At 34.6% G+C, this 14552-nt stretch overlaps 1 protein-coding gene and 1 pseudogene across 8 annotated transcripts in view, besides 1 other annotated feature; one reads left to right on the forward strand and one right to left on the reverse strand.

The window, feature by feature from the left end:
* FOXP2 (forkhead box P2) overlaps positions 1–14552 on the forward strand; it is a 607439-nt gene that overhangs the window by 526890 nt on the left and 65997 nt on the right. The window lies entirely within an intron of this gene.
* Positions 571–690, reverse strand: RNA5SP238 (RNA, 5S ribosomal pseudogene 238; annotated as a pseudogene).
* Positions 7802–9818: an enhancer, noted in NCBI's record as "VISTA enhancer hs1080". NCBI's record gives its function as "enhancer in: ear[3/5]" and the evidence as "EXISTENCE:transgenic organism evidence [ECO:0001131][PMID:17130149]".

The following is a 14552-nucleotide window of genomic DNA, read 5'->3' on the forward strand; positions in this document are numbered from 1 at the left end:
CAAAAAAGCAGAAAGTGTTTTTATACCCTTGTCCCATAGACAGTTCCCTTCCCTAGAGACAACCAATATTATCAGTTTCTTGTATATCCTTCTAGAGATATTTTGTGCATATTCAAGTGATATGTATATTTTACACATAATGGTACTTGCTTTTTGCATCAAGAAATATATTTTGGAGGCCGGGCTTGGTGGCTCTCGCCTGTAATCCCAGTACTTTAGGAGGCCAAGGCAGGCGGATCATGAGGTCAGGAGATTGAAACCATCCTGGCTAACAAAGTGAAACCCCGTCTCTACTAAAAATACAAAAAATTAGCCAGGCGTGGTGGCAGGTGCCTGTAGTCCCAGCTACTCGGGAGGCTGAGGCAGGAGAATGGCATGAACCCGGGAGGCAGAGGTTGCAGTGAGCCTAGATCGCACCACTGCACTCCAGCCTGGGCGACAGAGCAAGATTCCGTCTCAAAAAAAAAAAAAATGTATATATATATATATATGCTCTTATATATCAATGCTTAGCAAGACATAAAGAGTCTCCTTGTTTCTTTCTTTTCTTTTTTTTTAAAATGTTTTTAAGACCTACAGCACCCACTACCACCAGGTGGTCTCCCGTACCAAGTAGTTACCAGGCCTGACCCTGCTTAGCTTCCGAGATCAGATAAGATTGAGTGCATTCAGAGTGGTATGGCCATAGATTCCTCATTTATTTCTGTGACTGAATAGTATTCATTCCACTAATGGCTGTCATTTAACCAGTCTCCTATTGATTGTCATCTGGGATGTTTCTAATGTATTGTTGTTAAAAATGCCTTAATTAATATGTCTGAACATATGTCATTTCACATAGATGGAATATGTATAACTGAGGATAAGTTTTTAGAAGTAGAATTCCTAGGTCAAAGAATACGTTCCGTTTTAATTTTGATAGATACTACCCAAATACTGTCTATAGATTCATTGCCACTTTATACTTCCATAAGCTAGCATCTACTTTCTACAGCCTCACCAACACAATATTATTACACAGTCTGACCCTTCCCAATCTGATAGGTTTTTCAAAATGTCTTTAATTTGCTGTCTTTATAAATTAGGTTGAATAATGTTCATATGTAAAAGAGATATTTTCTACCAACTGTAGTACGTTGCCCCTTTTTTCTATTTAATTGTTGGTCTTTTTCATATTGACCTATAGGAGTGTTTCACATATTAGGGAAATTATGAGTTGAAAATATCATTCCTACTTTGCCATTTACTTTTAACTTTGTTATGGTTTGTACTATGAAGATTTTTTTTAACATAGTTAAATTATTGGTATTTTCTTTTATGGACTCTGGGTTTTGTCTCATTGTTAGGTGGACCGCACCTCCTTCACAATTATTCCACGTGTGTTCTCTAGAATTTTTATGGTTTTATTTTTTACATTTATTTATTATATCTAATGGCATTGATGCTAACATACGGAGCAAAGTAACAAGAGACTTTATAGATTCACATAACAATTCAATCAGAAGACATAACGGAAGAAAAGATCATCATCATCAACAACAACAAACCAAAGTAAAATATGTAGGAATAATCTGTCCATCTGATGCTTTGAATGTAATCTCCTTCTGCCTAGTAAAGGACTTTGTGTTTTTCCCCTCAGATTTCGGCAGCACCCCTCTAACTGGGGAATAATTAACAGATAAATATGCCCCCAGATCTTCTCTTTTAAAAAAATAAAACTTTGGCTGGGCGCAGTGGCTCACACCTGTAATCCCAGTACTTTAGGAGGCCGAGGCGGGCGGATCACAAGGTCAGGAGTTCAAGACCATCCTGGCCAACATGGTGAAACCCCGTCTCTACCAAAAATGCAAAAATTAGCCAGGCGTGGTGGTGGGTGCCTGTAATCCCAGCTACTCGTGAGGCTGAGTCAGGAAAATCATTTCAACCTGGGAGGCGGAGGTTGCAGTGAGCCGAGATCGTGCCACTGCACTCAAACTTAAGCAACAGAGCAAGATTCTGTCTCAGAAAAAGATAATAATAATAATACAATTTCTTCTAATCCACATACCCTTCCAGTTAAGCAATTATATTGCTCACTGTCATCATAATCTAGTTAACTAAAAGGATGATCTGCTCTCTACTACTATTACTGCCCTCTTCCTCCTCATAAATCTACAATATGACTTCTGACCCAACCCTCCCTTAAGGTGATTTTAGCTTAGTTGAATAACCTCCATATTGACCAAGACATAGAACATTGTCTCATGATTATCTTCAACTCTTTGCTTAGACTCATGGTTTTCTTCTTAAAACATTCTTTTGGCTTGGATATTATAATACCATTCTCCCAGTTTCCAACTCGACTTCTCTAGCTGGGCTGTCTCAACTTCCTTCCCAGACTCAGCCTCCTCACTGTGCCTTCAAATTACAGTGTTTCTCTGGTGTCAGCTTTCCCCTTTAGAGCACTTTCTGCTACTGCTATTAATTAATTAGTAGCATAATGAGTGGTTTACTGTGGGTCTCTTTTGTTAGAATATAAAGAGAGACTGTACGGGTCCCTTGCTGAGGTCTGCAGCTTCATCTCCACCTAATTCCCCTTTTACCAGGCCAAGTTCGGGAACTTTGTGTGAGCTTGTTCTCCCTTAGTTTGGATCTCCTTTGATCCTATCAGTTCATGGTCCTTTTTATTCCTCAGGTTTTAGCTTAAATGCCACCTCTTGAGGAGAACTTCCCTGACTTTATGATCTAAGATGATCCTCTTTGTTTAACACCTTCTTTATTTCTTTCCTAGAATATATCAATGTTTGTAATTATTTTATTTCTTCTCCAGTTTATTGAATTATTTCTCTTACATTAGAATATACCCTTTGCAAGGACAGGAACCTTTTATGTCTTGTTCTTGTAGAATTCCTAGCATCTCATATGTATCTTGAACACAACAGGTGAGTTGTTTTATGTTTTTTGTTGTCGTTTTTGTTTTTTTTTGAGATGGAGCCTAGCTCTTTTGCCCAGGCTGGAGTGCAGTGGCGCAGTCTTGGCTCACTGCAACCTCCACCTCCAGGGTTCAAGCGATTCTCCTGCCTCAGCCTCTGGTGTAGCTGGGACTACAGGCGTGTGCCACCACACCTGGCTAATTTTTGTATTTTTAGTAGAGAATGTGTTTCACCACGTTGGCCAAGCTGGTCTCGAACTCCTGACCTCAGGTGTTCTGGCTGCCTCTGCCTCCCAAAGTGCTGGGATTACAGATGTGAGCCACCATGCCTGGCCTACAATAGGTGATTAATAAATATTTTTCAATGGAAGGGACAGAAGAAGGCAAGGGACGGAGGTTGGTTTTACTGATTTACCATTATCACCTTAATTCTTAGCACAGTGAATTTCAGGGGTATTCATACTGTTATGGGGATTCAATTAAATATTTCCTGAAGATATTAACTCCTTAGAATTCTATTCCCAGTTCTCTGCTCTTATTCTGCAGGCCTCATATAGATTAATAGGTAACTCCACCTACACTATGACTTTAACTATCATTGATATGCTAATGACTCCCCAAATCTAAATCTAGAGCCATTACTCTTTGGTTCAAGAACCACATATGGGCTGGTATAGTGGTTCATTCCCATAATCCCAGTGGTTTGGCAGCTCGAGGCTGGAAGATTGCTTGATTCTAGGAGTTCAAGACTAGCCTGGGCAACATAGTGAGGCCCTCCCATCTCTAAAAATAAAAATAAACATAAAAAATTAGCCAGGCATGGCAGTGCACACCTGTAGTCCTGCCTACTTGGGAGGCTGATGCAGGAGGATCTCCTGAGCCCAAAAGTGCAGCTGCAAGTGAGCTATGATTGTGCCACTGCACTCCAGCATTAGCAACAGAGCGTGCGACTCTCTTTAAAAATAAAAATTAAATTTAAAAGAACCCCATATATAACAGCCTCGTGGACATTCTACTTGGATATTCTACAGGACCCTTAAATTTAAATTTAGCATACCAAGCATGCTGAGAACCAATCCACTTCCTGTATTCTTTACCATCATAAATGAGACTGTCGTCTTTTCAGATGCCTTTGAATCTCCTAGATTTCTCCTTTTCTTAAACAGTTTCTACATATAATAAAGCACATCCTATATATTACTGTTAAACATCTCTCAAATGCTCCCTTCCTCTCTATCCCATTCAAGTAATCTAAAAAGTCCACACCAATCTCCTAACCAGCATTGTTGCCACGAATATTTCTAAAATTCAAATCTGATCATATCAATGTTCTTAAATTTCTTAGGATCTCCATGTTTCCCTACTCTCTAATCCAGAAATGCTTGGCTGGGCGAGGCGGCTCACGCGTGTAATCCCAACACTTTGGGAGGCGGAGGCGGGTGGATCACCTGAGGTCAGGAGTTTTAGCCAGGTCTGGCCAATGTGGTGAAACCCCGTCTCTACAAAAATACAAAAATTAGCCAGGCATGATGGCGGGTGCCTGTAATCCCAGCTATTCCGGAGGCTAAGGCTGGAAAATTGCTTGAACCTGGGAGGTGGAGGTTGCAGTGAGCTGAGATCGTGCCCTTGCACTCCAGCCTGGGCAACAGAGCCAGACCCTTCTCAAAAAGGGAAAAGTAAAAACAAGAAATGCTTATTGAAAAAATGTTTAACTTCTAATTCTGATAGCCATGGCCCTTTCCTGATCTGGCTCCTACCTACCTGTGCTATATGTATTCCATACCCCTAGTCATAAAGAATAACTTGCCATTGCACAAAACCATCCTGCTTTCACCTAGAAAAGGCCTGCTTTTCACACTTTTGCCTAGGGAAGACGTTTAACATTCTTAATTCCTACTCATTCATTGAAACTCAACTTAAGCATTACTTCCTCTCAAAATCCTTTTCTGATTCTGCCATTTCTTCCTGTGCATTCTCTATTCTTCCTGTGCATTCTCCTATCATGACCCATGCCACACTGCAGTCTAATCATGCATTTACTCACCTTCCCCTCTACCACCAGAAGTTAGCAAACTTTTGCTGGATGGATGAATGACTATGGAGGGTTTATTCTTCAAGAATTTATAAAACAAGTTGAAAGTATGGTTATAACATAGAGCCAGTGTTGGAGGAATACAAACCCTAGATATAAAATTAAAATAAAATAAAACAAAACAAAATTACTAGTACAGACTAAATCAGAAACAGAGAATGGAGACTAAGACACAAAGAATCTTATGAGCAAGAGTTGGAATCCTAACACTTGAAACCTAATAATTAGTACTAGTAGAGACTATGGTGATTTATCCCTTATTGAACTGAACTTAGGCTACCTTTGAAGCTGGGCTGGGATTTAACAAGGACATACTTCCTCAGACAAGGTTTGCCTGCTATACAACAGACAAAACCAAAATATTTAGCTTGACCTATATTTTGTACCAGAATATTCCTTTTATATAAATGGTAGAATGCATAAATGTGCTCATAGAACACTATGAACAGGTATTATGTATCACTTTGTTCTATTTACTTATTTTTGATGTAAATCCCTCAGGAGTCTATGTAGGTGAAGATCCTCAATCTTTTTAATGTTTTTAGATATTAAGTTTGAGTAGAGACTGCAGATAGGATAATATGTCTTAGTATTCTACTTGTATAAACTGAGGCAATTTATTACATAGAATTAAGTCTCTTGAAGGGGAAGTTCATCTGGGTAAAGAGGCAAGAAAGGAAAAGAGATAATTTGAGTGGTTACTGTGTGTTATGTATTTACATGCTTTCTCACATTTAATCCTGAGGATAACTGAGTGACATGGATATACTTACCCTTATTTCACTGGTAAAGGAATAGAGGCTCAGAGAAATTAAACAGCTTGAACAAAGTGACAAAGCAAGCAAGACTCGATATTCAACTTGAATTTTTCTAGTTTCAAAGTCTAACACTGCAACCAAGCTTTTTGTTGCTGTCTGCATCTTCATTAATACCTTTTAAAATCATCATTCATAAAGAATAACATTATCTGTTTGATCCTCTGGTGTGGTATAATTGTTTGAAAAAAGAAATGGCCACTTTGTGAAAAGAAACTGTAAATACTAGTTATATTATCTTCACTAATCACAAAATAGCTGTCTTTGTAAAACCAAAACGGGCATATTTTCAATCCGTAAGTCCAGTGTTATCACTCAGATCTCATCTATAAAGAGCAATTATTTTTAATACATCATATGAGGAGAATGTTTAACTGTGTTTTCATAGTACTGTGACAGTTTATATTGGATTTGAAATATGTGTTCTGAATCTAGAAACTTAAATCTGCATTAGGTACAATATAAAAGAGAATAAAGAAATAGTAATTTATAACATATATGTTTCATTGTGAATTGGATATGGTGCTATTTCATAAAATGTTGCTAGGTTTTTTTAATTTATGAAATGTATTAGGCCATTATGGTTTAAAATTTGCAGTAGTGGAATTTGTATATCCAATTTTTTAAAAGAAACTGTATCCTCCTTTGGGTCAAATTATTCTTTTCCGATTTCTGTTCAGTTAGCTGTAATGTTTGAAAGTATGAATAAACTGGCTGTGAAAGTATTGTCCAAAAGTACCAAATATGAGTTATATTATTATCTCATTAGTCTTCCCCTGAAGGACCTCTTCTAAATAACTTACCATGGCTAGAAAAATGATATCACCAAATCAGAATGTTTTTCATTCAGTCATAGTATTATATTCAGTGTAGCAGGAAATAGTTTTGCATGACAGTACACATGTAAATGTCATTGCATATGTCATTTATGGTGTATAGGGTTGTTATGCAAGATTCACAGTGATCATGTTGGAGAAAACTGTCTCTGATACACTAAATAAAACGTGCTTAGTAAAAATTGCTAGCAATTTTTTCTAGACATATAATGACATGGTAAGAGCACAAAACAAAACTACCAGAAACAAACCATTTCTCAAGCTGTAATATCTAGAGGACAAGTGATTTAAATTGCTGAAACAAGGGGAGTTCATCGCTACACTACAAAAGAACTTGATATATAACCTAACGGCAAGTGAAATACTGATTCCAAGCTTAGAAATAACAGCAACAAATTTACCTACAGACAGAAGATGCATGGAAGCAATAAACGAATTATACAAGTCTTACACATGCAATCTGATTATTCTGACCAAAGTGTTAATTGGATCCTAACTGCCAGATCTGATATCTGTGGTCTTGTAGTGGGAAACCTTTCAAAGTGATGAACTGTAATTCACTGAGCTGCTTGAAGCACTTGTAATTTACTGCATGTCATGCTATGAAGAGCCTGACCTAATGGACTTTACATTACCTATAATGCTAGAAACCTTTCAGCAAGACTAGTTGGTAAAAAGTAATCGTAGAAGTCTTTTCAGACAGGATGAGCAAAATTATCTTAAATACAGCTTTATAATCTTATGGAAAGTCAGTTATTAAACAAAATATTGCAACTGTGGGAAAATAGTCTAGCCAACATAATTTACAACAGTATGATATCTCATAATTTGAAATTAAATAGAGGTAGAAGATATAAAAAGGACTCTGCATAGTTTTATAATCTAACCTAAATGCCATAGAATATGTTGGGTTTAAGCTATTCATGGATGAAATTCCTTTGCTTTCATAAAAAAATTGTATTTCATAATAATCAGATTTGGTATCTACTATGTACTTTCATATGTATTAAAAGTTATGGGAAATGTTATAGGTATGACAGACCTAGGGGTATACTACATTAAACAAATAGCTACATTATTTTGAGGATAAATTCTGGGCAAAACTCTCTCTCCTACCATTTGAAATTATGAGTTTAAAATGTGAAATTTTGCTTTGACAGCCCATAAGTGTTTATTAACTACAGCTAAACTATTGTCTCTTTTATATATTATGCTGAAATTTGGGGTGTTAATTTTTGCACATGAAGCCCTTATACTATAACTAATGGGTTACAACTGTTCTCGATGATGCAGTAATAGAATTTGCTTTGGTTACACATTTTGGAGGAGCTAGTTTGTTTTTAATTTATGTTAGAAATATGATTATCAGCATCTTTTTGATATCTATAAAGAATCTTTATGGGATAGGTAACTTAAGAATATTTTTCTAATTCTGAGGGTAGACAGATATGATTTATGTACAATATAAGGCAAAAGGTATAGTTTGGGATATTATGGTTCTTTCACCAAGATGCATACATTACTATTGTTAATTGTAGTAGCAACGGAATCTTAAGCAACTCACAGCCTGGCAGACATGAACTAATCTTGGATCTGTACAAATTAGGACATTCACGAAAAAGTAATTGCTAAGTCGTTGGTACAATACTCTCAGTAAATCTACCTCAGTTTTCCCTTTTTTTCCTGCCTTCTTCCATTGAAGTTAGGCTGTGTCAGTTAGACAGGCTCATCAGCAACTCCAAGTGCAGTGAGAGCATCCTAATGATCTGAAATTCTTCTTCGAAGTTGATGTTTTCTCATCAGGATCCAATTTAGAGGGCTTTGTTCCATTCTTGAACTTTGGAACCAGAGAAAAGCAAGGCAGTTTATAGCCTTCTCCATGGTGAGCTAGAAAGACAAATCAGTGTACCCAGCGGCAGGAGGGTTTTGAAGAGTTTCAGTCTTTATCAATAAACACTTAAAAATAATCAGTAACTACTTCTCCCTATAGCAAAATATGTCCCCTTGGCAAGACCTAAACATAATGTACATTTCATTGAAAAATATTTAAATATTTAAATTATCTTGAAATATAATTAAATACTTCAAACAGGCTAAATATTTTATTGCTTTGCAATGGCATGACTGACTGAAGAATCACAACCAAAGGGTATAGTAAATGCTGGGGGTAGACTCTGTTTCATACATTTGTGTTTCAGTAGATCTGCTGTTAGTAATTTTACTATTTCAGTAGTAGAGTTCAGTGTAAAGCGCAAAAAGCTGAGAGACTGTAATATCTGAGGTTCTACTGTTCATTTTATGTGCAGATGTTTATGGTGAGACTGTTTCATAAATGCTTATTACCGTTAGCCCTTCTAAGTGTAATTTTCAGGAGAAAAAAAATTCTGCAATTCAACCACCATTCCTCTCTATTCACCACACTTGTCAATCAGTGAGTTGCTGTATCTACAGGAATGGAGGTGTTATATTCTGGCAATTATCATGTCATATACTTGAAAATGTAAATGAATGTGTGTGTAAAATTAAATTTATGGGTTGTCAGCGAAGAATAAGAACCAGGAGAGCAATTACTTCTCTGCTTTCATCTTTTGAGCTCTGATACATCAAGCAGAAAACCATGCAGCTAAATGTTGGAATTAGCATTGTGCAGGTCCTGGAATGAATGGGCTAGTGTCTTTTGCTGCCTTTTCTGACTCTTTGTTTTGGAGAGCAGTGAAATTAAGATGATTATCATCCATCAATCTATGAGAGTGCCTATGAAAGCATGAAAGGATCTTCCTTCTCATATTTATTTTTGCTTTCTTAGAGAGTTGTCTTTTATCAGGACAGCTTGCTTTTTGTTGAAATTAATATTATTTGGGCTAATTTTGTGAGTTCCATCAAAATCACAATTGTTTTGTTTTTTGTATCTGGTGTATTAAAATTCATTTTAAAATTTAAAAGGAAATATTTATGAATGTAGACAAATAAAAGATTATTTTTAGCACAGTTACAGAAAAGTAGTCTCCCAGTAATTCTGAGAAAGATCTTAATTCTAGGGAATGGATCTAGCTCACTAGCCATATAAACATTTTTAGTTACTAAATGTAAATAAATGATGGTGTTTTCATAAATGACTATACCTCTTTTTATGGTGCACCTGTCTCCCAAATGAGCACTCAAGTATTCTAATTCTATGTAATTATTGATTATATTCTAGATTTTACAACTTAAAATAAAACCAGGCACTTCAGTTGCAAAGTATTATTGATTTTGTTTGTATTCTGCTTTTATCTGTTAAGCATTAATGTTCTATAGGTTAAGTTTTGGAAAGAATAAAAAATAAGTGTAAGATATGCAGTAACTTCTTTCCAATGATTTTAGGAGCCTAATGAACAATGGTGCAGATTTGTTTGAATATGAATGTGCAGTGGGATGGAGTTTGACCTTCAGCTGTGATTTCAGTTCGTCAGGATTAGTCAAGCTAGGCGATCAAGACTGCTAATGCATAATGATTTATAAAATGAAAAATGTGTAGTGACCATGCAAATGTTTCAGCTAATCAAAGAGGGGAACTTTAGCTTTGAGAAGAAAGAAAAACAAGGGCATGTCAAGGCCTAAACCAAAGATGTATGTAAAATAATCTGAGCAGCTTGATTAGACAGAGTGAGATTAGAAGTTGCATTTTTGGCCTTTAAGCATATGGTGTAGCATATTATATATCACTTCTCCATAATCTCTACAATGACACGCCTATATGAGCAGTCTGGTTTTCACCAGCAGTACAAAGAAAAGAATATAATCTCTTGAAATATTTGTCTGTAACTAAGAGAAGGACAAAGTTGGACAAACACTACTTCCCAAAACAGGAAACACTTTGCTTTATCAAGGTAACTAAATGAATACTAAAACTTGTGTCTTAAAGTAATAGTAGAAATTAAGTGATGAATCATGATTAAAGGGAATCTCTGTGTCTGTTATTGCACTGTGCTATATTATTTCTGTTGTTCCTGTCACACTATTTCCCTGCTGCTAAAAGATTGCGTTAAATAGCAATATGCACTGTCCATCCCAGATCTCTTTAAATACTCCTGTTCAGTACTTGATGAAAAGCTTACAAATACCACTCAATTCATTGTCAGTTCTTTTTAATACCATAAAACCAGGAAGCTTTTGAAAGGCTATTATTATGATAGACATTACACATGTAACCAAGGCTTGAATTTTTACCAAAGCTGGCATTCCAATGCAATAAATAGTTTCTTATGTTAAAATAAACTGTAAATAAAGATATTTCAGAGGATAGAAGCAAACAGAAGAAATGTATCAAGAATGTACAATAAAATATTTTCTATTAACAGTCAAAATCAGAGCAGATACTGTAACATAAGAACAAATTTTGCTTTTATTACACAAGTAGTTAATTGTCATAGTTACATTTTTCAAGTACCAAGAAGGCAAAAGAGTCAGGACTTCCTTTGTCTTCAAATTTTAAACAAAGAATAAAAAGATCTGTGAACCACTAGTTGGCAGACCGTGTTAACAAGAAAATAATGTTTTATACTGTAAATGTCATCTATAGATTGTGACTGCTATTTCCAATTCACATTTAGTGAAGAAAGAATTGGACTGACACTATACTAAGAACCTTTCCAATCTCCCACACATAATTGGGATGTTTAATTAAGGGACGCACTTAATATGCAAGCCCAGCACATTCAGAAATGCTCCAACTGAACTGGACTGTGAAAAGACTGTGCTTATGTAAAACAAAAATTTTGGTTTGTTTTCATAACTCTTACAATAACTCTTTAGATGCATTTGAACAGAGATATGATCTTTGCATTGTCTCGTAATAACTTTTTTGACCTCCTCAATGACATATACTTTAAATTTTAATATAAACACATTTATAATATATATGTTTTTATGATTTACATATGATTTTAGGATGACAATGATGTGATGGTTATATTTATGTCATAACTAAATATAATTATATTTAATATCACTTATTAATAATAGGTGATATTAATTGTAATACACTTACCTATTCTAGGATAATACCTAAATTTTTTTTTTTACTTTTACCACTGACTCTTTGCAAGACAGTTTCAGAATTTTCCCTCTCTCATTTTAGAATGCATAAACCTATCTTTATATTCAGTTAAGTAATACTTCTTGGTGCACAGAGCAGCATGTCGGGTTTGTGCTTAATTCATGTAATGAGATAATAAATAAGGGTAAATGGAGACCCTTGTTTGGTGCATCACTAAGGAGAATTTTAAATCTGTCAGCAAAGTAAATACCAAGAGAGAAAAAAATCTCCCAACCAAAGATGACTCTATTTCCTTCCTTCACACTTGAAAATTTTAACTGATAAATACCCATTCAAAACGAGCTATTTCTTCTGATTTCATTTGGTGGTAGAGCCACCAGACTTTTATTTGCCTTCTCACCAGAAGTAAGTTCTCCCTCCTCTTCTATGTCACACGTCTAAATTGTGATCCCTTATTAGAATATTTGCATGAATCAAATTACATATCTAGCGAAAAATAGTTCCGTTAGTCTAACACCGAACTTGCTAAGGTATATGTATTTCAAAAAAATTGTCCATAAATTTTTAAAAGGCTGATACTGATTTCGTCTATTTAAATATTGGTAAGTAGTATAATCTCTACATTTTTATATGTATACAATTAATCTTTATTCATTTTTATCAATGAATACCTAGAGTAGCTTGTGGTAGCAAGTAAATGAAATGGGACAGTAACAAGAAACGATGAGGGAGGAGAAGAGGAAATGTGTCGCTTAAAATGAGTCACTTAAAAATGAAGGCTATGCATTTCTCAAATTGCAAGTGGACGGGTCTGCAATATTACTGACCTTTGTTGTAGAAAAAACTAGTTTTTTGTTTATTAAATAACTTAGATTTTTAGTAATCTCCTTAGTTTGGGTGAGCTTATATATGTGGATTTAGAGATGATAGTATTACTTTATTTGTAGTGTTAGAAAACCCTCAGAAGTGTACCTGTGTTTTTCTACCTATATAATTAATTTTAATTTATGTCTTTTGTACACATAGAAGTAGAGTGTTCAATCATGTATGTGTTAATTGGCTCATCTTTCTATTTATTTTTATATCTGTATATTGTCAGTTTTAGATGACAGTTTCCTAGAAGGTAGGCCAGAATCTGATTAAAATTTTAAAAAATCACATACATGTGACCATTTAAAACATATGATCTTAAGAAGAGAATGATTTCATGGTTATATTTATGTCATAACTATTAATTGAAAGGCACTCAAACCATTTTAGGAGTAAAAATAATCATCTAACTTGTGTAGTGTAAGGACTAGTATACCCTAAAGAATATGAAGATAGAAAACTTGCTTAAATTTGCTCATTTATCAAATCGATCACAATAGCAACAAACTCTACAGTCATATTATATGTATAAGCTGAAATCTGACTGTAAACTCGTAGTGGTTTACGGCATACCTCCATTCATAGAACTTTCCCCATAAAGTTCACTTATCATTATACATAAAGTATTTGTACTTGTAGGTATAGGAATAATTAAGGGATAATTAAAACGCTATATACTGAAAAAATAAGGAGCGGTTATGTAAGAAAAGTGCGACAAGCTTCTTATCTATGATTAACTTTATAGAAGGCATATCTCTCTCTCTCTCTCTCTCTGTCTCTCTCTCTATATATATCCATGTACATGTCTATAAACTCTATATCATCTATCTATCTATCTAGATTGACAGCCTTTTTAGTTTAATATGTCTATCTTTCTCTGTCCATTTCAGTTTGATTCCTATTTGGAAATAGTATGAGGTAAATGATTGTTCGAAGAAAAGACATTTTTGTAGATTGATACATTTTTTTTCTCACTACTTGTTCTAACCATTCTATTTGTTTATCAGAGAACAAGGAGTTAAGTAAATTGACAGTCAATTTTATAAAACAACTAAACACTTGAAAAACCCATTGGTGAATTAATTTTACAATATACATTTCAGAATGCTTTTTATTATAATAAATTCAAATTCAGTAATTTATAGGTATGCCAGTATATTCCTTAAAAATACAGAAATATTTTTTAAAATCACTGAATTTCTGTCATAATGTTTCAAGTTACTCAATTTGATCTAATTAATCTGAATATGTTAACATGGAGAAAAGAAAAGACATTGCTATTTTTCAGTATTAAATATGAAAGGTTTTGATTTATTTAGTTCTTTATTTCTTTTTGGAGGAAGAATTAATCCACCCTGGATTTCTTTTTTTTTTTTCTTCTGCTTCTTCTAACCTCTTTTCATTATTAATTTCTCCTTTCTCCATAACATAAAGTGCCACACTGGAAAAGTTTGAACTGCATTAAAAATAACAATTAAAATAAGTTGTGAACCGTATCTTTTAATCTTTTTTGGTTTTGAAAGACATGTTGCCCAATAAATTTGTTCTAAAACAGTATTTATATAAATACTTGCTTTTATTTACAGTAAAAGTGAATTGTTTTTTCTAGGAAAGTGATTACTATTTCAAAGGTTGCAAACTTGGAAAGTTGACAAGTTGTTTGATTGCATACTGGTTAGTACAAGTAATGCCTCAAACAGTGTTACTTGCCTTCTATCTGAGCATATACTTTAGGTTTCTATACCAGTTTTTCTGATCACCACTCTTACCATCCTCTTCCTATTTCTTCACATCCGTTCTGTCTTTCTCTAGGGCTTTCCCACTAGCTTGTCCTTTTTCTACGTTTTCCTTACTTCCTTCCTTCTTTCTCCTTTATATCTTTTTCTCCTTCCCTATCTTCTTTTTGCCTCTCATCCTCAGAACCCTGAAGAAAAAGGAAGTAGTGGGAAAAAAGTTTTAAGTAAATTACTTTTATTATTTTCAGTTTAAT

This window comes from Homo sapiens, chromosome 7 (assembly GCF_000001405.40).
Source record: "Homo sapiens chromosome 7, GRCh38.p14 Primary Assembly".
Taxonomy (NCBI): domain Eukaryota; kingdom Metazoa; phylum Chordata; class Mammalia; order Primates; family Hominidae; genus Homo; species Homo sapiens.